The 24,993-nt window shown below is 49.4% G+C and overlaps 1 protein-coding gene across 7 annotated transcripts, besides 6 other annotated features; it reads left to right on the top strand.

Moving 5' to 3' along the window:
- Positions 17-619: an enhancer, noted in NCBI's record as "H3K27ac hESC enhancer chr7:73668967-73669569 (GRCh37/hg19 assembly coordinates)". NCBI's record gives its function as "activates a minimal SCP1, AML or CMV promoter by ChIP-STARR-seq in primed H9 embryonic stem cells {active_cell/tissue: H9 hESC(primed)}" and the evidence as "EXISTENCE:reporter gene assay evidence [ECO:0000049][PMID:30033119]".
- Positions 464-543: an enhancer, noted in NCBI's record as "active region_26148". NCBI's record gives its function as "activates an Ori minimal core promoter by ATAC-STARR-seq in GM12878 lymphoblastoid cells {active_cell/tissue: GM12878}" and the evidence as "EXISTENCE:reporter gene assay evidence [ECO:0000049][PMID:35858748]".
- Positions 620-1,222: an enhancer, noted in NCBI's record as "H3K27ac hESC enhancer chr7:73668364-73668966 (GRCh37/hg19 assembly coordinates)". NCBI's record gives its function as "activates a minimal SCP1, AML or CMV promoter by ChIP-STARR-seq in primed H9 embryonic stem cells {active_cell/tissue: H9 hESC(primed)}" and the evidence as "EXISTENCE:reporter gene assay evidence [ECO:0000049][PMID:30033119]".
- Positions 784-903: a silencer, noted in NCBI's record as "silent region_18276". NCBI's record gives its function as "represses an Ori minimal core promoter by ATAC-STARR-seq in GM12878 lymphoblastoid cells {active_cell/tissue: GM12878}" and the evidence as "EXISTENCE:reporter gene assay evidence [ECO:0000049][PMID:35858748]".
- On the top strand, positions 857-23,754 carry RFC2 (replication factor C subunit 2). Of its 7 annotated transcripts, none has more exons than NM_181471.3 (11): positions 857-985; positions 2,758-2,827; positions 5,476-5,517; positions 6,138-6,244; positions 8,493-8,594; positions 12,010-12,110; positions 15,161-15,318; positions 16,268-16,333; positions 17,814-17,894; positions 19,611-19,724; positions 23,040-23,754. In NM_181471.3, the coding sequence occupies exons 1-11, from the start codon at positions 873-875 to the stop codon at positions 23,148-23,150; spliced, it is 1,065 nt and encodes a 354-aa protein (NP_852136.1). In that variant the 5' UTR covers positions 857-872; the 3' UTR covers positions 23,151-23,754. The 7 variants fall into 7 exon arrangements, with proteins under 7 accessions (NP_852136.1, NP_001265720.1, NP_001265721.1 ...); NM_001278791.2 differs by having other exon boundaries at positions 6,036-6,244; NM_001278792.2 differs by lacking the exon at positions 6,138-6,244.
- Positions 954-1,183: an enhancer, noted in NCBI's record as "active region_26147". NCBI's record gives its function as "activates an Ori minimal core promoter by ATAC-STARR-seq in GM12878 lymphoblastoid cells {active_cell/tissue: GM12878}" and the evidence as "EXISTENCE:reporter gene assay evidence [ECO:0000049][PMID:35858748]".
- Positions 1,223-1,825: an enhancer, noted in NCBI's record as "H3K27ac-H3K4me1 hESC enhancer chr7:73667761-73668363 (GRCh37/hg19 assembly coordinates)". NCBI's record gives its function as "activates a minimal SCP1, AML or CMV promoter by ChIP-STARR-seq in primed H9 embryonic stem cells {active_cell/tissue: H9 hESC(primed)}" and the evidence as "EXISTENCE:reporter gene assay evidence [ECO:0000049][PMID:30033119]".

Below are 24,993 nucleotides of genomic sequence, written 5' to 3'. Positions count from 1 at the left end.
AGCCTGCACCTCCTGGGCTCAAGCACTCCTCCGCCTCAGCTTCCTGAGTAGCTGGAACTGCAGGTGCGCGCCACCACGCCCGGCTACTTTTTTAATTTTTATTTTTGTAGAGACGGGGATCTCACTTTGTTGCCCAGGCTGGTCTCGAACTCCTGGGCTTAATCGCTCTTCCGGTCTCTGTCCCCCAAAGTGCTGGGATTAGAGGGGTGAGCCACCGCACCGGCCTTGAGTCCCTATTTTCCTGGAATGAACATTGCATTTCATCTGACAAAAGGACGGTTTCAGTTTCCTCCTCTGCAAAATGGGGTGGGGGTGGAATTCCCATCTTGCAGCCGAGAATTCCCTGATAATAAACGTCGAGTACCGAGCGCGGTTGAGGCGCAGGAGCCTACCCAACGGGAGCAGCTCACTAGGACATTCAGAGCAATCTGGAAAAGTGGGCACGGGCAGCCCCAGACGTCATCCCCGGACCCCGCTGCCCAGCAGCGCCCGGACGCCAGCGTTGTCCGTGTCCCAACACCGAAGCCCGCGTTTGGCCGCAACCCCTCCAGGCCCTGCTCCTCCCACGCCGCCGCGGAGCGGATCTTCCACAGAAACCACACACAAACGTCCGTTCCGAGAGCGACCTGCTTTCTCGGAAGGCGTCGCGGCCACAGCTCGCCTTCCTGTCGCTCCCAGGCCGGGCGCCAGGTCTCCCATAGCAACCGCGGCCTCCAGCGATGGCCGCCAGGGCACCACCGGAACCCTCTTCGCAGGCACAGAGAGGCGCGGGTACGTAACTTCCGCTCGCGCCCGGCGGAAGCCAGGGGGCGGGGCTTGCGTGGCGGCGTCAAGGGGCGGTGCCTCGGGTGGCGGGAAGAGGAGGCGCGAGAATGGAGGTGGAGGCCGTCTGTGGTGGCGCGGGCGAGGTGGAGGCCCAGGACTCTGACCCTGCCCCTGCCTTCAGCAAGGCCCCCGGCAGCGCCGGCCACTACGAACTGCCGTGGTGAGGTCCCAGGCCGTAAAGAATGGGCGCGTTTGGACGTGAGGGTGGGCGAGTGGCGGGCCGTGCTCCGGAGAAACTCGGGGGTCAGGGGCTCGTTTTGGGGAATCCCGAGGGAGGAGGAGGCCCCGGGTGGCATCGAGATGATTTCAAGAAGGCGACGGACATGGATCGAGAGTGGCCGGTCTAAACTCTGCGAGCGGAGTCTCGCTCACTACAATGCTTATGACAATTAGGGCTACCCCGGGTGGCCACCTACTCTGACCTAGTTGGTTTTTTCAAAAGTTTTTGTGTATAGTAGTGTATGACCTAGTGTTTTCAAAAACTTCAATCTTTTAAAAAAAATATCGATTACATGTTGAAAATAATATTTTGACTGTTAGGTTCAATAACATTTACATTTGAAATTTTTTTAAAAAAATCAAGACGGGGGTTTTGCTGTGTTGCCCAGGCTGATGTCCAGCTCCTTGGCTCAAGTGATCCCCCTGCCTCAGCCTCCTAAGTAGATGGGACTACAGGCACGCACCACCATGCCCAGTTAATTTTTTTTTTTTAGATGGAGTCACACTTTGTCACACAGGCTGGAGTGCAGTGGTGTGATTTCTGCTCACTACAACCTGCATCTCCCTGGTTCAATCAATTCTGCCTCAGCCTTCCTAGTAGCTGGGATTACAGGCATGTACCATCACACCCTGCTAATTTTGTGTTTTTAGTAGAGGCTGGGTTTCACCATGTTGGCCAGGCTGGTCTCGAAGTCCTGATCTCAAGTGATCCGTCCGCCTCGCCTTCCCAAAGTGCTGGGATTACAGGCATGAGCCACTGTACCCAGCCTAGGCCTACGGTGTCTAGCCAGCTATGCTGTGTATTTGGCACACGTCTGCAGAAACTGGCAGGTAATCCTTGCCTGGCATGGTGGCTCACGCCAGTAATCCCAGCACTTTGGGAGGCTGAGGTGGGCAGATCACCTGAGGTTGGTAGTGACCCAAGATCGCACCATTGCACTCCAGCCTGGGCAACAAGAGCAAAACTCTGTCTCCAAAAAAAAAAAAAAGAAAAGAAACTGGCAGGTAAGGGATGAGAAAGGAGCTTGGTTGCACCCATGTTGTCACACCAAATGATGTCAGTGCTGTATGTGCTGGGCCTCTTGTGACGGGCGGACAGGGTTGCAGCACAGTGTCACATTGCTCCAGATGACCTGTGCTGGCCGTGCTCCAGCAGCAACAGGTGTTTCTCTGCTGTGGCAGGTTTGAAGCCTATGCTGTACAATTCTCATGCCTTTAACTTTTCAAATGGCACTTGGGCATCTTATTACATTTTATTTATTTATTATTTATTTTTGAAACAGAGTCTCACTCTGTAGCCCGGGCTGGAGTATAGTGGCATGCATGATCTCAGCTCACTGCAACTTCTGCCTCCCAGGTTCGAGCTACTGTGCCTTAGCCTCCCAAGTAGCTGGGATTACAGACGCACACCACCACATCCAGCTAATTTTTGTATTTTAAGTAGAGATGAGGTTTCACCATGTTGGCCAGACTGGGCTCAAACTCCTGACCTCAATTGATCCACCCGCCTCAGCCTCACAAAGTGCTAGGATTACAGGTGTGAGCCACTGCGCCTGGCTGTCATCTTATTACATTTAAAACTTGCAACCATTTGGCATAGTTGTACTGAATGTATGTAATTTTTTAACAAAGCTCTCAGGATAACCCTTAGGTGCTTTTTGTGGGGTAGTGTGAAGATAACCATGTCAGCATTTTTATGCATTTTCTTAACAGGGTTGAAAAATATAGGCCAGTAAAGCTGAATGAAATTGTCGGGAATGAAGACACCGTGAGCAGGCTAGAGGTGAGTGGCTTTTTTTTTTTTTGAGACAGAGTCTCGCTCTGTCGCCCAGGCTGGAGTGCAGTGGTGCGATCTCCGCTCACTGCAAGCTCCGCCTCCCGGGTTCATGCCATTCTCCTGCCTCAGCCTCCCCAGTAGCTGGGACTACAGGTGCCCACCACCACACCCAGCTAATTTTTTGTATTTTTAGTAGAGACGGGGTTTCACCGTGTTAGCCAGGATGGTCTCAATCTCCTGACCTCATGATCCTCCCGCCTCGGCCTCCCAAAGTGCTGGGATTACAGGCGTGAGCCACCACACCTGGCCTTTTTTTTTTTTTTTTTTTTTTTTTTTGAGATGGAGCCTCCCTCTGTCGCCCAGGCTGGAGCGCATTGGCGTAATCTGGCCTCTCTGCAAGCTCTGCCTGCTGGGTTCACGCCATTCTCCTGCCTCAGCCTCCGGAGTAACTGGGACTACAGGCGCCCGCCACCATGCCTGGCTAATTTTTTTTGTATTTTTAGTAGAGATGGGGTTTCACCGTGTTAGCCAGGATGGTCTCGATCTCCTGACCTCGTGATCTGCCCACCTCGGCCTCCCAAAGTGCTGGGATTACAGGCGTGAACCACCGCGCCCGGCCTTTTTTTTTTTTTTTTTTGAGATGGAGTCTCGCTCTGTCGCCCAGGCTGGAGTGCAGTGGCGCCATCTCAGCTCACTGCAAGCTCCGCCTCCTGGGTTTAAGCAATTCTTCTGCCTCAGCCTCCCCAGTAGCTGGGACTACAGGCACACGCCACCACGCCTGGCTAATTTTTTTATTTTTAGTAGAGATGGGGTTTCACCGTGTTGGCCAGGCTGGTCTTGAACTCCTGACCTCGTGATCCGCCTGCCTCGGCCTCCCAAAGTGCTGGGATTACAGGCGTGAGCCACCACGAGCGGCCTTGAGTAGGTTTTTAAAAGATGACCTAAGGCTGGGCACAGTGGCTTACACCTGTAATCCCAGCACCTTGGGAGGCTAAGGCGGGCAGATTACTTGAGGCCAGGTGTTTGAGATCAGCCTGGGCAATGTGGTGAAACCAGTCTCTACGAAAAAATTTAAGAATGAGCTGGGTGTGGTGGCACATGCCTGTAGAGTCTGAGGTTCAAACTGGGCATGGTGACAAGTGCCTGTAATCCCAGCTACTCGAGGCCAAGGCAGGAGGATCCCTTGAGCCCAGGAGTTTGACGCTGCAGTGAGCTATGATCACGCCACTGCACTCTAGCCTAGGTGACAGAGTGGACACCCTTACTTTGAGAAACAAAAAGAGTTTGGGCTTCATAGTGAGGGCAGGGAGGAGTCAAGGATTTCAGTTAGGGAAAAATGTTTTAATAGGGCCGGGTGTGGTGGCTCACACCTGTAATCCCAGCACTTTGGGAGGCCAAGGCGAGTGGATCACCTAAGGTCAGGAGTTCACGACCAGCCTGGCCAACATGGCAAAACCCCGTCTCTACTAAAAATAAAAATTAGGCAGGCATGGTGGTGGGCGTCTGTAATCCCAGCTACTCAGGAGGCTGAGGCAGGAGAATCGCTTGAACCCGGGAGGCGGAGGTTGCAGTGAGCCGAGATTGTGCCATTGTACTCCAGCCTGGGCAACAAGAGCAAAGCTCCATCTCAAAAAAAAAAATGTTTTAATAGGTGTGTACTTTAGGAAAGTGGTCGTGGTTACAGGATGGGAAATGGATTTGAATGGGAGCATGGAGACCACTTAATGGCCCATTGATAGCAATCAGACGAGATAATGGGCTTAAGAAAGTGGTAGCCGGGATGGAGAGAAGGGATGGAGAGAAGTAAAGGACGCTGGAGACGAAGGAGGAGGATGGTGAAGCCCTGGTTATTGAAGTACTCAGGGTGAGGATGAGGCCAAACCAAGATGATGGCAACCTCAACTTCATGGCATAGACAGTCCATGGTGGGAAACATGGGTGGGGCCTCAGGTTTGTACAGGAGAATGAAGTGTTCAGTTTTGAAGATGCCGAGGTGAGTACCTGTAGTCCCAGCTACTCGGGAGGCCAAAGCAGGAGGATCACTTGAGCCTGGGAATTGGAGGCTGCGGTGAGCCTTGATCACACCACTGCACTCCAGCCTGGGTGACAGCCAGAGTGCATCTCTAAAAGAATAAAAAGAACTTGAGGTGAGAGTTCCATGGGGCATCCAGTCCATGTGGATAAATTTGTAGCCACGTTTACTACACAGGCTGTGTAGCTGGGGAGATTCAGCTCCTAAAGCTTACAAATTAACCAGGTTTTGTGTTTTTTTTTTTTTGTTTTTGAGACAGGGTCCCACTCTTTCCCAGGCTGGAGTGCAGTGGTGCAGTCACAGCTCACTGCGGCCTCCACTTCTCAGGCTCAACCGATCCTCCCATTTTAGCCTCCCGAGTAGCTGGGAGTACAGGAGCACACCACCACACCTGGCTAATTTTGTTTATTTTTTGAGGAGACAGAGTCTCACTGTGTTGCCCAGGCTGGCCTCAGGCCTCAAGTGATTGTCCTGCCTTGGCCTCCCAAACTGCTAGGATTACAGGCCTGAGCCATTGTGCTCAGCCGAGTTTTAACCTGCTTGTTTGTTCTTTTTTCTATCTTTTTTATGTAGTCATCCAGAAGCAAGTTTTAACCGGTTTTAATGATCATTTTCGCCGTAGGTCTTTGCAAGGGAAGGAAATGTGCCCAACATCATCATTGCGGTGAGTACCCAGCCCTGGGCCTGTTGAGTGTCTCCATGTCTCATCCCACTGTCCGCTGAACTGCTTTCTTGTGCACAGCGCTGCCTCCCTGGAGAGCCCCTTCCCATTCCCCCGGCAAAGGGAAGTGTTTCACTCTAGTTGGGAGGCCTGGGGTTGGTTGCTGTATTTTTTTTTATTTATTTATTTATTTTTTTTTCTGAAACGGAGTCTCACTCTGTCACCCAGGCTAGAGTGCAGTGGTGCAATCTCTGCTCACCGCAACCTCTCCCTCCCAGGTTCAAGCGATTCTTGTACCTCAGCCTCCCGACTAGCTGGGATTACAGGTGCCTGCCATCACGCCCAGCTAAGTTTTGTATTTTTAGTAGAGACGGGGTTTCGCCATGTTGGCCAGTCTGGTCTTGAACTCCTGACCTCAGGTGATCTGCCCGCCTTGGCCTCCCAAAGTGCTGGGATTATAGGTGTGAGCCACTGTCTCCGGCCAGCTGTATTGATCTGTGTGTGCTGTGGGTGGAATGCAGGGGTCAGAGGTGACGGAGATGCAAACAGCAGTGAACATAACTCAAGAGCTACCTGAGGTCCTTCTGGTGGTTTGAAGTCTTTACTGGAGATCTCATTCCCAGGGCCCTCCAGGAACCGGCAAGACCACAAGCATTCTGTGCTTGGCCCGGGCCCTGCTGGGCCCAGCACTCAAAGATGCCATGTTGGAACTCAATGCTTCAAATGACAGGTAGGTCTTAGAGTCAGACCTGTAGGGGGGCGGGTGCTCTGCATTGAGAATTGTTACAGAAACAACCTTTCTCAGCATTGGGTTGTATGCGAAGCCTTGCCAGCTATGTGATTTCCTCCACCCCTTCCCAGTGAAAGAGCGTTGCTCACTTGTCAACTTGCCGGTTTATTTTTTTTGTTTTCATGGAAATTTTCAAAAACTGTTCTTCTCAGCCAGGCATGGTGGCTCACACCTGTAATTCCAGCACTTTGGGAGGCCGAGGCAGGTAGATCACCTGAGGTCAGGAATTCGAGACCATCCTAGCCAACATGGTGAAACCCCGTCTCCACTAAAAATACAAAACTTAGCTGGGCGTGGTGCTGGGTGCCTGTAATCCCAGCTACTCAGGAGGTTGAGGCAGGAGGATTGCTTGAACCCAGGAGAAGGAGGTTACAGTGAGCTGAGATCGCACCGTTGAGCACTCCAGCCTGGGTGACGAGCAAAACTCCATCTCCAAAAAAAAAAAACCAACTAGTTTTTCTCTTTTTTCAAGTTTAAAAATTTTTGTAGAGATGGGATCTCACTATGTTGCCCAGGCTGATCTCAAACCCTTAGCCTCAAGCAATCCTCCTGCCTTGGCCTGCTAAGTTGCTAGGACTATAGACACATGCCACCATGCCAGCTTTTTCTTGTGGAGACGGGATCTCACTATGTTGCCCAGTCTGGTCTCGAACTCCGGGACTCAAGCGATCCTCCTTGCATCAGCCTCCCAAAGTGCTTGGATTACAGACGTGAGCCACTACACTGGGATGTTCAACCAGTAAATATAATGCAAAATTCCAAAATGTGAAAAAAAAACCCAGATCTGAAATATTTCTGGTCCCAAGCATTAGGGATAAGGGATACTCAGCCTGTATATTTAAAGTGTATGGAAGGCCGGCCAGGCATGGTGGTTCATGCCTATAATCCCAGCACTTTGGGAGGCTGAGGCAGGTGGATCGCTTGAGTCCAGGAGTTTGAGACCAGCCTAGGTGACATAATGAAACCCCATCTCTGTATAAAAGTAAAAATAAAGTGTTCTGGAGGATGTGTATAAGTTAATATGCAAATACTATACCATTTCATATAAGGGACTTGAGCAAAAGTGAATTTTGGTGTCTGAGGAAGGGCCTAGCACCAGTCCCCAGGAACACCAAGGGACAGCTGCATATTGTTCACTCCTTGATTCTTCAGTTAGGGAAAATGTCTGGAGGATATTGGCATCTGAAGATTCATAGTCTGAGATTTTGCTTATTGATCAATTTCACCATCAGTAGCATTTAGAATGTTGCTATTGGTGTCTCTGCAGTTCTGTACTGTTCTGTTCTGTTCTTTTCTTTCTTTCTTTTTTTTTGAGACAGAGTCTTGCTCTGTCACCCAGGCTGGAGTGCAGTGGCACGATCTCGACTCACCATAACCTCTGCCTTCTGGGTTCAAGCGATTCTCGTGCCTCAGCCTCCCAAGTAGCCGGGACTACAGGCGTGCGCGGGCACGCCCAGGTAATTTTTGTATTTTTAGTAAAGATGGATTTTCGCCGTGTTGGCCAGGTTGATCTTAAACTGGCCTGGAGTGGTCCGCCCACCTTGGCCTCCTAAAGTGTTGGGATTACAGGTGTGAGCCACCATGCTTGGCCTACATTGCAGTTATTTTCTGATTCACCTAATAATTAGGAAGAGTCCTCCTCTCAATTTTTTTCTCTTTCCTGTTGTGGGTAGAGAATGAAAAATTTTGAATTCTTGGCTGTGGTTAGTGAAAGCTTACAAGATAACAAAGGTGGTATATCTGCACTTCTATTACATCTTTTGAAAGATAATATGGTATCTCAAGCAATGCAGTTAAAAAACTGAAGGATGAGGCTTTTTTTTTTTTTTGAGACGAATTATCGCCAGGCTGGGGTGCAGTGGCGTGATCCCGGCTCACTGAACCTGGGAGGCAGAGCTTGCAGTGAGCCAAGAGGGCCACTGCACTCCAGCCTGGATGACACAGCGAGACCCTGTCTGAAGAAAAAAAAAAAAAAAGTGTATATTTTCTTTGTTCTTTGAAAGACCTCCAAGAAAGAACAAATGCCATAAAATCTCAATCCTTATAAATAGTTACAATTGCCCCCCAAAAAAACTCAAAAATGGAAATTGGGCCTCACAGTCCCTGATATACCGATTGTTTAAAAGTCCTTGTGAAGGCAACTGAATTGGTCTCAGAAGGTGCCAGTAAAAACCTGTCATTCTTTCAGGGGCATTGACGTTGTGAGGAATAAAATTAAAATGTTTGCTCAACAAAAAGTCACTCTTCCCAAAGGCCGACATAAGATCATCATTCTGGATGAAGCAGACAGGTAGAGTGCTTTGCCAAATGTATTTTGACCTTGATCTCTAAATCTCTTTTTCGGTTTTATTCAATCAGGATAAAAAGCACTTTTATGGTAGATTTGCTTATCATATCTTCCACAAGCAATTTAATAGGGGCCTGCACCTTAAATCTTATCTTTATTAAGTAACTTACAAACATTTGTCTAAGATAGTCATTCATTTAATGTGCTGGTTTCAGCATCTCTTACGTTAATAATTTAAATGAGGGTTTTTGTTTTTTTTTTTTTTTGAGATGGAGTTTCTCTCTGTCACTCAGGCTGGAGTATAGTGGTGTGATCTCTGCTCACTGCAACCTCCGCCTCCCGGGTTCAGGCGGTTCCCTGGCCTCAGCCTCCCAAGTATCTGGGACTACAGGCATCTGCCGCCACACCCGGCTAATTTTTGTATTTGTATTTGTATTTGTATTTGTATTTATTTATTTATTTTTTTTTTGAGACAGAGTCTCGCTCTGTCTCCCAGGCTGGAGTGCAGTGGTGCGATTTCAGCTCACTGCAACCTCCGCCTCCTGGGTTCACGTGATTCTCCTGCCTCAGCCTCCCGAGTAGCTGAGACTACAGGCATGCACCACCACGCCCAGCTGATTTTTTGTATTTTTAGTAGAGAAGGGGTTTCACCATGTTAGCCAGGGTGGTCTCAATCTCCTGACCTCGTGATCCGCCCGCCTCAGCCTCCCAAAGTGCTGGGATTACAGGCATGAGCCACCGAGCCTGGCCTAATTTTTGTATTTTTAGTAGAGATGGGGTTTCGCCATGTTGGCCAGGCTGGTCTCGAACTCCTGACTTCAGGTGATCTACCCGCCTCGGCCTCCCAAAATGCTGGGATTATAGGTGTGAGCCACTGTGCCTGGCCTGTAAATTTTTTTATTGTGGTTAAATGGACATAATTAACCATAAATTTTTTTTTTTTTTTTTTTGTGAGACGGAGTCTTGCTCTGTCGCCCAGGCTGGAGTGCAGTGGCGCAATCTTGGCTCACTGCAAGCTCCACCTTCTGGGTTCACGCCATTCTTCTGCCTCAGCCTCTCGAGTAGCTGGGACTACAGGCGCCCTCCACCACGCCCAGCTAATTTTTTTGTATTTTTAGTAGAGACGGGGTTTCACTGTGTTAGCCAGGATGGTCTTGATCTCCTGGCCTCATGATCCGCCCGCCTCGGCCTCCCAAAGTGCTGGGATTATAGGTGTGAGCCACTGCGCCCGGCCCAAAATTTACCATTTTAACTATTTTGAAGTATACAGTTCAGTGGCATTTAGTACATTTGCAATGTTGTGCAACCATCACAACACTTCGGTTGGTATAAATGAAGAATCTGAGTCCAGGCTCGGTGGCTCATGCCTGTAATCCCAGCACTTTGGGAGGCCGAGGCAGGCGGATCACCTGAGGTCGGGAGATGGAGACCAACATGGAGAAACTTCGTCTCTACTAAAAATACAAAATTAGCCAGGTGTGGTGGCACATACCTGTAATCCCAGCTACTTGGGAGGCTGAGGCAGGAGAATTGCTTGAACCCCGGAGGCGAAGGTTGTGGTGAGCTGAGATCATGCCATTTGCACTGCAACCTGGGCAACAAGAGCGAAACTCCATCTCAAAAAAAAAAAAAAAATTGAAATGACATTAAGAAAAGAATATAGAACCCTAACCCTATAACGTTGTTTTTTGTTGTAGTTTTTGAGACAGGGTCTCACTATATCACTCAGACTAGAGTCCAATGGCACAGTCATAGCTCACTGCAACCTTGAACTCCTCGGCTGTAATGATCCTCCACCTCAGCCTCCCAAGTAGCGGAGACTACAGGCTTGTGCAACTGCAACCAGCTATTTTTTTTTTCACAGGGGCAGGATCTCACTATGTTACCCAGGCTGGTCTCAAACTCCTGGCCTCAAGTGATCTGTCTGCCTCGGCCTCCCAAAGTGCTAGGATTGCAGGCATGAGGTGCTGTGCCTGGCGAAATAAATTTTTTTTAGGGCCAGGTGCGGTGGCTCACACCTGTAATCCCAGCACTTTGGGAGGCCGAGGCGGGCAGATTGCTTGAGGTCAGGAGTTCGAAACCAGCCTGGCCAACGTGGAAACCCCGTCTCTACTAAAAGTATAAAAATTAGCCGGACATGGTGGCGCCCAGGCTGGAATGCAATGGTGCTTGTAATCCCAGGTACTAAGGAGTCCAAGGCAGGAGAATCGCTTGTACCCGGGAGACAGAGGTTGCAGTGAACTGAGATGGTGCCAGTGCACACCAGCCTGGGCAACAGAGCAAGACTCTGTTTCAAAAAAAAAATTTTTTTTTTTTAATGTGGCAGTAATTCATGTTCTTTGAAGAAAATTTAGAATATATTAATAGTTTGCTGCCTTTTTATTTATTTATTTTTTTGAGGTGGAGCCTCACTCTGTTGCCCAGGCTGGAGTGCAGTGGCATGATCTTGGCTCACTGCAACCTCTGCCTCCTGGATTCAAGTGATTCTCCTGCCTCAGCCTCACGAGTAGCTGGGACTACAGACGTGCGCCACCACGCCCAGACAATTTTTTTTTTTTTTTTTTTTTTGTATTTTTAGTAGAGTTGACGTTTTGCTGTGTTGGCCAGGCTGGTCTTGAACTCCTGACCTCAAGAGAGCCACCTGCCTCGGCCTCCCAATGTGCTGGGATTACAGGCATGAGCCACTATGCCTGGCCATTAATAACTTGCTTTTTTTCTTCTCTTTTTATATACTATCAATGTTTACACAGTTGAGATCATAATATATATAATTTTTGTATCCTGGTTTTTCCTTTTAATGTTGTAGGCATTGCTCTACATTATGATAATCTGGTAAACAGGCTTTTTTGTATTTTTTAAAATTTTTTGTAGAAATAGAGGTCTTACTTTGTTGCCCAGGCTGGTCTCGAACTCCTGGTCTCAAGCGGTCCTCCCGCATCAGCCTTTTGAGATGGGAGGATTGCTTGAGCCCAGGAGTTCGAGGCTGCAGTGAGCTATGATTCCACCATTGCACTGCAGCCTGGGTGACAGCAAGAACCTGTCTCTTTAAGAAAAAAAAAAGAATAAAAAAGGAAGAAAGAAAAGTTGGCAGCTGGTGTCATGATTGTTCTCCTGAATTTGTGTCATGAAGGACTGGAGAGAACCAATTCCCACAAGTGTGATGGCAGCCCTTGTAGATCGTGGTTTTCGTGAGTTTCACTTGAGGGTTGTTCTGATGCTGTAGGTACTAAATGCTGTTTGCACAGTCTTTGAGAGAGCGGCCTGCAGGTGTTAGCATTAGAGGGATGGCCTGCGTACTTCCAATGAGACCCTCATTTAGGACATTGGATGTGTCTTATGTCCTGGGTTTTTGTATAGGGAACGATTTGTGTCACATGGTCTCTGGGTCCCACTTGCAAACTTGTGTTTTTCTTCTCAGCATGACCGACGGAGCCCAGCAAGCCTTGAGGAGAACCATGGAAATCTACTCTAAAACCACTCGCTTCGCCCTTGCTTGTAATGCTTCGGATAAGATCATCGGTGAGTGGGAGCTTTCGGTGGCTGGGGGCCACGTGGTGCTCAACTGGGCTTTTTTCTTTTTTATAGATGTGGTCTCCCTCTTCGCTCAGGCTGGAGTGCAGTGGTGCCATCACAGCTCACTGCAGCCTCAAACTCCTGTGCTCAAGTGGTCTTCCTGCCTCAGCCTCCCAGTAGCTGAGACTACAGGCCTGTGCCACCACACCTGGATTTTTTTTTTTTTTTTGAGACAAAGTCTCACTCTGTCGCCTAGGCTGGAGTGCAATGGCACGATCTCAGATCACTGCAACCTCCACCTCCAAGGTTCAAGCAATTCTTGTGCTTCAGCCTCCTGCGTAGCTGGGATTACAGGCTCGCACAACCACACCCAGCTAATTTTTTTTTTTTTTTTTTTTTTTTAAGAGATGGGGTTTCACCATGTTGGCCAGGCTGGTCTCAAACGTCTGACCTCGTGATCGCCTGCCTCGGCCTCCCAAAGTGCTGGAATTACAGATGTGAGCCACTGCACCTGGCCTCGCCTTGGCTCTTTAGCGCTGGAAGAGTAGGGATTTTTTTATTGTGTAGCATGGGCCAAGCACTATATAATCAAGTTTTTAAATTTATATTTTTTTAATTGACAAGGAGAAATTGTATATATTATGCACATGTTTCCCATTGTAATCAACTTTTAAATTTAATCTTACATAATCCTATGAGGAGGTATTATTCGCTTCAGTTTAGAGATGAGAAAACTGGAGCTTATCCTGATGTTTAGGATCTAAGGAAAAAAGAGAAAGAAAACGAGCTTGGAGAGGTTGAGTAGTTTCCCCAAAGTCAGAGCAAGTGCAAGAGCAGCTGGGATTGGAGCCCCAGTTCTATCACCCTCTTGCACTCTTGGAGGCACAAGGATGTTGTTGATGTCCCCTGCACGGTGTCACGATCACAGTCGCTCTCCAGATACCTTCTTGTGCTATTCATGTGCTCTGAGTACTTGGTATAGGCAGTATCTGTACATTGGAATTTGTTGCCTCCGGGAAGCTCCTCTCTCAAATCCTGCAGTCCGTCTTTTCTCTAACCTTACTGTTTGCCCTTCCACCTCCCTCCCTGCAGCCTGTCTGCTTCTGCATGGGTTTGTCCCGCCCCAGGTCCCAAGAGTGCTCTAGTCTGTCAACTTCCTGCTGGTTTCACATCCTTCTCTTTCTTTTTTTTGTAGAGAGAGTCTCGCTCTGTCGCCCAGGCTGGAGTGCAGTGTTGCGATTTCAGCTCACTGCTATCTCCGCTGCCTGGATTCAAGTGATTTTCCTACCTCAGCCTCCTCAGTAGCTGGGATTACAGGCATGTGCCACCATGCCAGGCTAATTTTTGTATTTTTCTTAGAGACGAGGTTTCACCATGTTGCCCAGGCTGGTCTAGAACGCCTGGCCTCAAGTGGTCTGCCCACCTCGGCCTCGCAAAGTGCTGGGATTATAGGCGTGAGCCACCACGGCTGGCCCATCCTTCTCTTTCTGACACAGGCTGCCTGCACAGCCCAGCTGTCCTCTTTCCTCATTTTTCATTGCTCTCTCAGCCGCTTTCTTTGCCTCACTTCTGCCCTGCTGAACCCCAACCATATGAGCTCATCCATCTGACAACCCCCTTGCCACCCAGGCCGCTGTTGCCGACGAGCGCATTACCAAATATGGCACCCACAAAGTCATGGCTACCAGCCCTGGTGGGGCTCTCAGCAGTGTCAAGAATCCTTTGCATTCTTTTCCCTTCCCAAAATCGCACTGATTTGTGCATTGATTCATTAACCCATTCACCGAACGCTTAACTCTGGTTCTTAGTAGCCGCCAGGCACCATGCTAGTGGAGAGCTCGTGGAGTTTAATGAGAAGTATTCTCCACTTTGCAGATGCCAGCAATGAAATGGAGAAAAATGCATTCCTAGGTCTTGATTTGGCAGGGCACAGTGGCTCATGCCTGTAATCCCAGCACTTTGGGAGGCCGAGGCAGGTGGATCCCCTAAGGTCTGGAGTTCGAGACCAACCTGGCCAACATGGTGAAACCCCATTTCTACTAAAAATACAAAAATTAGCCGGGTGTGATAGCGTGCGCCTGTAATCCCAGCTACTCAGGAGGCTGAGACAGGAGAATCACTTGAACCTGGGAGGTGGAGGTTGCAGTGAGCCTAGATCACACCACTGCACTCCAGCCTGGGCAACAGAGAGACTTGGTCTCAGTAAAAAAAAGAAAGAAAGAAACTGGCCAGGCATGGTGGCTCACACCTGTAATCCCTGCACTTTGGGAGGCTGAGGCAGGAAGACTACTTGAGGCCAGGAGTTCGAGAGCAGCCTGGGCAACAGCAAAACCCTGTCTATGAAAAAAAAAGAAAGAAACTGGGTTGGCCCATTCAGATTGAATTGTCATGTGCCCAGAAGGGCCAACATCCAGCACACACCAATTCCAGAGTCCACCTGGGCCAGGGCTGACTCATCTAACAGCTTGTGGCAGGCACATGGATGTGTTTCTACTGGAGGATCATTTCCCCGTCTGGAAGCCGTGGCTAGCCAAGGCCATGTGGGCAGTGCCAACTGAGGCCTCTGTCATTGCTTATTGGTTGACACCTTGACATATCACCCTGTGTTTACCAAGTCTCTCTCTCTCTCTTTTTTTTTTTTTTTTTTTTGGAGACACAGCCTCGCTCTGTTGTCCAGGCTGGAGTGCAGTAGTGTGATCTTGGCTCACTTCAGCCTCCAACTCTCGTGCTCAAGCGAGTCTCTTGCCTTAGCCTCCTGAGTAGCTAGGATTACAGACGTGCGACACCACACCCAGCTAATTTTTGTATTTTTAGTAGAGATGGGGTTTCACCATGTTGTCCAGGCTGGTCTCAAACTCCTGTCCTCAAGTGATCCTCCCGCCTCAGCCTCCCAAAGTGCTGGGATTCAGGCGTGAGCCCTCGTGTCCGGCCTACCAAGTCTCTATTGAGTGCCTGGGGCTGTGTGGATTGTGCAGCTGCAGCCTTATGACCAAAGAGCTAGCAGGATGATGCCGGCCTCTGCAGGGAAGCCTCACTACTGTCCCGTCTCTGTTCAGAGCCCATTCAGTCCCGCTGTGCAGTCCTCCGGTACACAAAGCTGACCGACGCCCAGATCCTCACCAGGCTGATGAATGTTATCGAGAAGGAGAGGGTACCCTACACTGATGACGGCCTAGAAGCCATCATCTTCACGGCCCAGGGAGACATGAGGCAGGTATGTGGGCTGCTACCATTCAGGCGTGGGCATCCTGTGCCTGCCATGCCCCTTCCATGGGGAAGGGGAGGGAAGTGACAGCTGCACAAGGTACAACAAGAGAAAGAGACAGAGACCTGGCACCCTCCTGGGACAGTGGGCTGTCTAGCTCGGACTCCAAGAAGAGAGGCAGGGAAGGGCAGAGCTTTAAAAGTCACCCCGGAGGCTGAGGCAGGAGGATCACCTGAGGTCAGGAGTTCAAGACCAGCCTGGCCAACATGGTGAAATCCCATCTCTACTAAAAAAAATTAAAAAATTAGCCAGGCATGGCCAGGCACAGTGGCTCACGCCTATAATCCCAACACTTTGGAAGGCCAAGGCGGGTGGATCACGAGGTCAGGAGTTCATGACCAGCCTGGTTAACATGGTGAAACCTCATCTCTACTAAAAATACAAAAAATTAGCCAGGCGTGGTGGTGGGCGCCTGTAGTCTCAGCTACTCGTGAGGCTGAGGCAAGAGAATGGCATTAACCTGGGAGGCGGACCTTGCAGTGAGCTGAGATAGCACCACTGCACTCCAGCCTGGGCGACAGAGCGAGACTCTGTCTCAAAAAAAAAAGCTGGGCATGGTGGTGGGTGCCTGTAATCCCAGCTACTCAGGAGGCCGAGGCAGAAGAATCGCTTGAACCTGGGATACGGAGATTGCAGTGACTCGAGATTGTGCCACTACACTCCATGCTGGGTGACAGAGTGAGACTCTGTCTCAAAAAAAAAAAAAAAAAAAAAAAGTCACCCTTGGCCCGGTGCGGTGGCTCATGCCTGTAATCCCAGCACTTGGGAGGCGGAGGTGGGAGAATCGCTTAAGCCCAGGAGTTCGAGACCAGCCTGGGCAACATAGCGAGACTCCTGTCTCTACTCAAAAAGAAATAAATATAAAAATCATCCTTGACATGTGTTTGCTCCTGAACAGGCGCTGAACAACCTGCAGTCCACCTTCTCAGGATTTGGCTTCATTAACAGTGAGAACGTGTTCAAGGTACAAGCGCTAGTGTGGGTGGTACTGTCAGCAGAAGCCGTGCTTCCCTGTGGGGGCCAGTGGGGCTGAAGGGCTGGGCTGGCAGTGGGGACGGACATCTAGCTGCTCTTGTGGGTGCCAGGGAGCCCACCCTGCTCCCGTCTGTCCTCTCCCTATTGCTGCTTTGCTGCACAAGCTGGAGAGTTTCGGGGGACCTGGAACGTCACTTGTGTGTGGTAGGTGAGGGAGGACCACGGATGCATCAGACCCAGGGTCGAGCAATTTCTGACGTGTCTTATTTGATCCCAGCGACTTCCCTGCACAGAGGTTCTCACCATCACATTGTGGGTGATGACGTGGGCCCAGGGGATCCCCTGGCCCCTAAAGGGCAGGCAGGAGCACTGTGCTGTTCCCCAGTAGCCTTCAGACCCCACACCCTGGGTTTTTTCTGCAATGCTGTGCCCTGCTCCCCACTTCTGCCCCTGGAGGGTGGGTAGTAACCCTCAAAGCCAGGCTGAGGAAAAGGTTTCTCACTTACTCTCCCATGTCAGCAAAACATTTTTCTCTTGGGAATTCTTTTGAAAACTGCTTCCGCATCCTGATAACTCCGCGTCTAAATGCCATTTGAGAGATTCACTTCCCCCTTATTTGGGGGAAGAAACTGGGAAGGGCTGTCCAAGCTTTCAGCCTATAGCTGTTTCTTACCAGGTTTGTGGACAACAGACAAGCGATTTTTGAAGCATCTGGGTAGATCTGGGCAGTGAATGCATTTTCGAGGCCACTTAGGAAGGGGAGGCCCGCTCAGAAACAGGGGTGATGGTTCGGGCCCTGTTTTGTCTTGGAGGGTCACTGAGGGCTCAGGAAACCATGGCTTCCACCGGGAAAAGGCAAGGGCAGGTGTGGGTGACCTCTGGAGCCATCAGGAGGCTTTCATTGGGAAGATGTAGGGGTCGACATTGTACCAGAGGCAGAGCCTCATGCCACTGCGGAGAATGCTGCAGGGAGGACGGAGTCCCCAGCACCATGCACCTGCCTGCTGGAGTAGCCTGACCCCTTGTTTAGGGTGTCAGGCTGAGGCTGGGGGACCTTTTGTAGGGAAGGCCAGTTCCTACTCCGGGGTGGAGGTGGGAATTGGCCCAAAAGACCTCCCAGTTCTAAAGTGAATTCCAAGTGGTTCTGGGCAACTGACCCCCCAAGTGATCTAAGACAGATGACTTGTGACTTTAAAGCTGTCCCCAAGTGAGCATCCTTCACAGGCCCTTGGTTGCTCTCTTGTTCATCTGTCTTATGTTTGGGAAATTTATCTTCCTGGTGCCGGAAGCACTTCTCTTTGATGGTGAGAGGAGCATTCCCCAAACTCATCCTGGTTGCTGGAGAATTTGATGAAAACAACAGGTTGAGAAGTTTTACCCATAGATTGCCTGGAAGTCGGTCTGTTGGGGCCTCCCCGCTCACATTGTCCCTTCTAGCCCCTGACCGCCTTTCCTTTCCCTTTGGCCAGGTCTGTGACGAGCCCCACCCACTGCTGGTAAAGGAGATGATCCAGCACTGTGTGAATGCCAACATTGACGAAGCCTACAAGGTTGGCCTCCTTCCCCCCGTCCTGGCAGAGGAACCGCTCACTTCTTGGGCAGAGGAGAGCGGGAGCCCTTCTGGTACCAGGGACATTATACACATCACTCCATTCATTCTTGAAATCTTACTTGGGAGACTGAGGCAGGAGGATTTGTTGAGCCTTGGAGGTCAAGGCTGCAGTGAGCTGTGATTGCGCCACTGTACCCCAGCCTGGGTGATGGTGAGACCCTGTCTCAGGAAAAAAAAAAAATTATTAATATCATGCTATGTGTTAATCTGTCTAGGAACTGGAAAAAAAAAATTATGCTAGGAGTTGGGTGCACTTTACTGATGAGAAAACTGATTCAGAGGCTGAATTCCTTGTCCTAAATCACTGTGTTTGTTTATTTATTTATTTATTTATTTATGTAGAAACAGGGTCTTACTCTGTTGCCCAGGCCGGAATGCACTGGCGCGGTCACAGCTCACTGTAGCCTCTACCTCTCAGGCTCAGGCGATCCTCCCACCTCAGCCTCCCAAGTAGCTGGGACTACAGGCACATGTCACTATGCCCAGCCCTAAGTCATGGTTTAAAAGCAGTAGAACTAGAATTCAAAATGGTGTTTTTCTCCTGTAATTATATCCTCTGCAGGAGAAATTTGTCAGCCAAAGTCAGGAGGAAAGACCAGCCTAGCTCCTTCTCCAGGGAAGCCATCTTCTCTCCAGTTAAGGGGAAGTGTCCCCATCCATTCTCATAGGCACAGGCATTCTGGGATCCAGCAGCCCCCAGCTAGCCAGGAGAGGAGGGAGCAGGAAGATTCTAGCCTCACAATGGGACTGAGTGCTGTGAGCAGATTCCAGCAGATGTGGCTGGGGTTCAGGCGACCTCAAGCCACATGGGTGTGGTGTGGTTGGTGTGGTTCAAGGTCATTGATCCAGTCATGGTTTCCCTCTGCCTACCCCCTAACAAACTAGGTTGGAAGTTGACTGGGTTTAGGGCATAGTTCCACCCAATGTGAAACCGGAGTGCAAGGCGGGGAGACTGAGCAGAGACCCAGGCCCAGGGTCCCTGAGTAGACCTGAAGAAAGCCTTCAGATTTGTGGGCACAGAGCTTCTCTGCCTCCTGAATTCACCCCAAGATGCCAAAACAAAGGCAAAAAGGCCTGCCTCCAGACGCTGCAGCCTGGGTGGGGCAGGGTGGGTGGGAAGCAGGAGGCTGGGATTACCCAGTCAGGGTGTGCTCCAGGCTCGTCCTGCAGAGGTTGCATTGGGACTGCAGCTGGATGAAGCTAGCAGATGAATGGTCTGCTTTTTCCACTTTGCTATACCTAGTCATCAGATTAATAAAGCATTTTAAGAGCTCCGGATCAAGAGATTACATGGGTGTGGTAGTAGACCATTTTGCAACACAGCTTAACACATTTGCGATAGGCTGGGCTCAGTGGCTCATGCCTGTAATCCCAGCACTTTTGGAGGTCGAGGCAGGAGGATTGCTTGAGGCCGGGAACTTGGGACCAGCCTGGGCAATATAGCAAGACTCTTATCTTTATATTACTGAAAAAAAAATATTTAAGCAAAACAACAATACATTTGCAATGTTATCTCTCTATCTGCCATGAAAATCAGTTAAGGTACCCCCATGTGACCTGAAGGGTGGGCCCCACCAGCTGTGGTGAGTCTCAAAATCACATGTCTTCTTACAGTTTAAAGTGGTAAGCAGCCTTTTCTGTCTCCTTTGTCTAGATTCTTGCTCACTTGTGGCATCTGGGCTACTCACCAGAAGATATCATTGGCAACATCTTTCGAGTGTGTAAAACTTTCCAAATGGCAGAATACCTGAAACTGGAGTTTATCAAGGTCGGTGAGAATGTAGAAATGCCTCTGTCCTCAAGAATGTGGCCCATAGTGGCCGGGTGCTGTGGGCCACACCTGTAATCCCAGCACTTTGGGAGGCCGAGGTGGGCAGATCACCTGAGGTCAGGAGTTCGAGACCAGCCTGGCCAACGTAGTGAAAGCCTCTGTCTACTAAAAATACAAAAATTAGCTGGGCATGGCTGGGCGTGGTGGCTCATGCCTGTAATCCCAGCACTTTGGGAGGCCGAGGTGGGCGGATCACCTGAGGTCAGGAGTTTGAGACCAGCCTGGCCAACATGGCAAAGCCCCATCTCTACTAAAAATACAAAACTTAGCTGGGTGTGGTGGCAAGCGCCTATAATCCCAGCTACTTGGGAGGCTGAGGGAGGAGGATCGCTTGAACCTGGGAGGTGGAGGTTGCAGTGAGCCAAGATCGCACCACTGCACTCCAGCCTGGGCAGCAGAGCGAGACTGTCTCAAAACAAAAAAAAAAGACTGTGGGCCCTGGCTTCGCTTTCTCTGCTCACAGGCCTGGCATCTAGAAGGTGCTCAGTGTTTCCCAACTGCAGTGGGAGGGAGGCTGTGTCTTAGTTCCTTTGAGTTACTATAAAGGAATACCAGAGACTGGGTAATGTAGAAAGAAAAGAGGTTGATTTGGCTCACAGTTCTGCAGGCTGTACATGTAGCATGATGCCAGCATCTGCTTCTAGGGAGGGGTTCAGGCTGCTTCTGCTCATGTTGGAAGGGGAAGTGGGAGCCTGTGCATGCAGAGACCACCTGTTGAGAACGGAGGGAGGTGCCAGGCTCATTTGAACAGCCAGCTCTCCAGGGACCTAATTGATCCAGAACTCACTCACTACCTTGGGGTGGGCACCAAGCCATTCACGTGGGATCTTCCTCATGACCCAAACATCCCCACATTGGGGACCAAATTCCAAATGAGATTGGAAGGGGACAGACGTCCAAACTAGATCAACGTGGCTGATTGTCCTGAGGACCAAGTTTGTTTCACACAGTTCTGATTTTCTTCATTCAAGGCTCTCTTGTGTATTGACTGATTGATTGATTTTTCAAGGTTAGATTAATTGAGGTTTAATTTACATAGAGTAAAATTCAGCCTGTTAGGTACAGGACAAACGCACTCAGTCATGCAAACACTATCACCATCAGGATGCAGAATCTGTCATCCCAGAACAACTCATGTGTCCCTTTGAAGCCAGCCCCCTCCCCGACTACCACTTGGAAACTACCGATGTAGTTTCTGTTTCATGGGATACAGTTTTCCAGAATATCATATAAATGGGATCATGTAGAACTTAGCCTTGTGAGTTTGGCTTCTTTCTTTCACTGTAGCAGAAATGCCTTTCAGATGTGTCCACGCTGGTACTTCTATCCATGAGTCAGTCCGTGTTATCACTGAGAAGTAATCCATCCTGTGCGTGTACCACAGTTTGCTTATCTGTCCATCAGCTGGAGGACATTTGGGTTTACAGATTGTGGTGACTGTGAATAAAGCCAGTGTAAACATTTGCATATATGGATTAGTGTGAATGCAAATGTTAAGTTTTTCTTTTTCCCAAGTAAGTTCCCAGGGGTGAAATTGCCTGGGAAAATGATAAGTGTATGTTTTACTCGATAAGGAACTGCCAAACGGTTTTCCGAAGTGGCTGCAGCACGTGCATTCCCACCAGCATTCCGGAGGATCCTCAACCTAGCCACCACATGGAGTGCTCAGTTTGGTTTTTAAGCCATTCTAATAGGTGTGTAATGACCGGATGCAGTGGCTTACACCTGTAATCCCAGCTACTCGGGCGGCTGAGGGAGGAGGATCGCTTGAACCCAGGAGGTGGAGGTTGCAGTGAGCTGAGATCACACCCCTGCACTACAGCTTGGGCGACAAGAGTGAGACTCCATCTTAAAAAAAAAAAAAAAAAAAAAACCAATAACAACAACAACAAAATAACCTAATAGGCATGTGATGAGATCTCATTGTGCCTTTAATTTGCATTTCCCTAATTACTATGCTGAACATTTAATCATGTGCTCGTTTGCCATCCAGAATCTTCTTTGATGAAACATCTGTTCATATATACCCATTTTTTAAAATTTTTACATTTTTTATTTTAATTGTACTGTATTTTTTGTTTAGAGATCATGTTAAGACCGGCCAATTTTTATATTTTTGGTGGAGACGGGGTGTCCCCGTGTTGCCAAGGCTGGTCTTGAACTCCCGGGCTCAAGTGATCCTCCCGCCTCGGCCTCCCAAAGTGCTAGAATTACAGGTGTGAGCCACTGCGCCTGGCCTACCTTTTTTATGTTTTTGAGAGACAGGGTCTTGCTCTGTCACCCAGGCTGGAGTGCAGTGGTGCGATCATAGTTCACTGCAGCCTCAACCTTCCATGCTCAAGCAATCCTCCCACCTCAGGCTCCCGAGTAGCTGGGACTGCAGGCATGTGCCACTACACTTGGGTCATTTTTATTTTCTTTTTTTCGTAGAGTTTGGGTGTTGCTATGTTGCCCAGGCCCAACTCTGGGCAAGTGATCCTCCTGCCTCAGCCTCCCAGAATGCTGGGATTACAGGTGTGAGCTACTGCTCCAGGTCTAAATCTACCCATTTTTTAATTGGGTTGTTTGATTTTTATTACTGAATTTATTTACTTATTTATTTTTGAGATGGAGTCTTGCTCTGTTGCCCAGGCTGGAGTGCAGTGGCACTATCTCAGCTCACTGCAACCTTCGCCTCCCAGGTTTAAGTGATTCTCCTGCCTCAGCCTCCCGAGTAGCTGGGATTACAGGCGTGCGCCACCATACCTGGCTAATTTTTGTATTTTTAGTAGAGATGGGGTTTTACCATGTTGGTCAGGCTGATCTCGAACTCCTGGGCTCGTGATCCACCTGCCTTGACCTCCCAAAGTACTGGGATTACAGGCATGAGCCACCACGCCTGGACTTTATTACTGAATTTTTGAGAATTCTTTATACAGTCTGGATGCAAGTTCTTTATCAGATATATAAATATTTTCCTCTAGCCTGGCTTTCCGTGCCACCACCCCGCCCCCCCTCGCCCCACCCATTTTCTTAACAGTTTCTTTGAAAGAACTATCAGCATCCTTTTAAGAAATAAATAGAACTTTAGGTAAACATAATCCATTGCATCTTAGCATTCATTTTCCGGCTGGGGTTGGAATTCCTCATGCTGATTTTGAAAAAACCATTAGTTCAGTTTGTTTCTGTTTTTATTTTTATTTTTTTCAGTTCAGATTTTAAAAAAGAACTCCCCCACTTATTAACCAGATTTGAATTTGGTTTGTTTTTCAGGAAATTGGATACACTCACATGAAAATAGCGGAAGGAGTGAACTCTCTTTTGCAGATGGCAGGCCTCCTGGCAAGGCTGTGTCAGAAGACAATGGCCCCGGTGGCCAGTTAGAGCAGAGACTTCACTGACTGACTTACAGGTGCCCTATTCTGAGGTACAGGAGCCGCGGCTTTCTGATGGGGGAAAATGCCGCCTTAGGCTGGAGCCAACATGACTGTCCTTTAAACTCCAGTGGCTGGCCAGGCACGGTAGCTCACGCCTGTAATCCCAACACTTTGGGAGGCCGAGGCAGGTGGATCACCTGAGGTCAGAAGTTCAAGACCAGCCTGGCCAACATGGGGAAACCCTGTCTTTACTAAAAATATAAAAATTAGCTGGGTGTGGTGGCGGGCACCTGTAATCCCAGCTACTCGGGAGGCTGTGGCAGGAGAATCGCTTGAACCCAGGAGGTGGAGGTTGCAGTGAGCCAAGATCACACCATTGCACTCCAGCCTGGGCGACAGAGTCTCCATCTGGGGAAAAAAATTAAATAAATAAACTCCCGTGACTTGCATGTTTGCTTCTGGGACGTCTGTGCCCCGCAAGTGTTTGAGTTTGGCCTCCACCCCATTGATGCGGTGACGGGGCGGAAAGGCGCAGAGAAGCTGAGGGCGGTCTCTGATCTGTGTGTGGGTTGACATTTTAGCTAATAAAGCCTTGCAGTGTTTGTTGGCAATAAGGTGACCATGTGAAGCCTCGAGAAAAACCAGCTTCCTGTCTCTACGGGCCTTGGCAGCCTACAAGTAGAAAAGGCGATTAGATAGTAGACCCACAAGCTCATCTCGGTTCTTCTAGAAGCCTGAAGGCGCCACTTCCCCAGGGCGAGGGCAGGGTTTGCTGTCTTTCCTATTTAGACTGATTTCTCAGAATGGCCAGGTGGCGAGCCTTTCAGAGAGGGCGGCAGAGTGGAGAGATGCAGCCCAGCCCTCAGGAAAACACCGTGATGCTCTTCCTGTGTTCTAGACCATACTCTTTGCGCTTGCTTTAGAATTCCCCAAAGAATTTCGTACTAATTTGTAGAATTGCCTTTTTTTTTTTTTTGGTAAGATACTATTTTTTTCCCTTTTTGTTTTGTTTTGATTTTTGAGATTGGGTCTCACTCTGTCGCCCAGGCTAGAGTGTAGTGGGCCAATCTTGGCTCACTGCAGCCTCAACCTCTTGGGCTCAAGTGATCCTCCTACCTCAGCCTCCTGAGTAGCTGGGACTACAGGCATGTACCACGATACCCAGCTAATTATTAAATTTTTTGTAGAAATGAGGTCTCACTATATTGCTGGGACTGGTCTCGAACTCCTGGCCTCAAGTGATCCTCCCACCTCAGCCTCCTAAGTGCTGGCATTACAGGTGTGAGCCACCATGCCTGGCCCATTTGGGCACGGTGGCTAAAATACGAAATACTAAAATACGAAATTAGCTGGGCATGGTGGCGCACGCCTGTAATCCCAGCTACTCAGGAGGCTGAGGCAGGAGAATTGCTTGAACCCAGGAGGTGGAGATTGTAGTGAGGCAAGATGGTGCCATTGCACTCCAGCCTGGGCGACAGAGCGAGACTCTTACAAAAAAAGGAAGAGAAACTTGTCCCTGAGGTTGTACAGTCAGGACTTCAGGATGTGAAGTAACAGGTGGGCGGCAGTTGGGTTCTAGATGTTTCTTCTGATTTCCTAACTTGTCGCATTAATTTCTTCTCATGGGAAGAGTCCCTGGGCCATCCCAGAAAGACGGCTGGACTTGGGAACTAAGATCCCATCCGCAGCCCTGATGCTCTCAGGGTCCCTTTTTATTAAACAAGAGCTGTGGCCGCCATTCCCTTAAGGCTTTTTGTGTTTGGTTATGTTTTTTGAGACAAGGTCTCCCTCTTTCGTCCAGGCTGGAGTGCAGTGGTGCGATCTCGGCTCACTGCAAGCTCCGCCTCCCG

Source organism: Homo sapiens, chromosome 7 (genome assembly GCF_000001405.40).
Source record: "Homo sapiens chromosome 7, GRCh38.p14 Primary Assembly".
NCBI lineage: Eukaryota > Metazoa > Chordata > Mammalia > Primates > Hominidae > Homo > Homo sapiens.
Note: the sequence above shows the minus strand (reverse complement) of the source record. Positions and strands in the feature narration are given on the sequence as shown.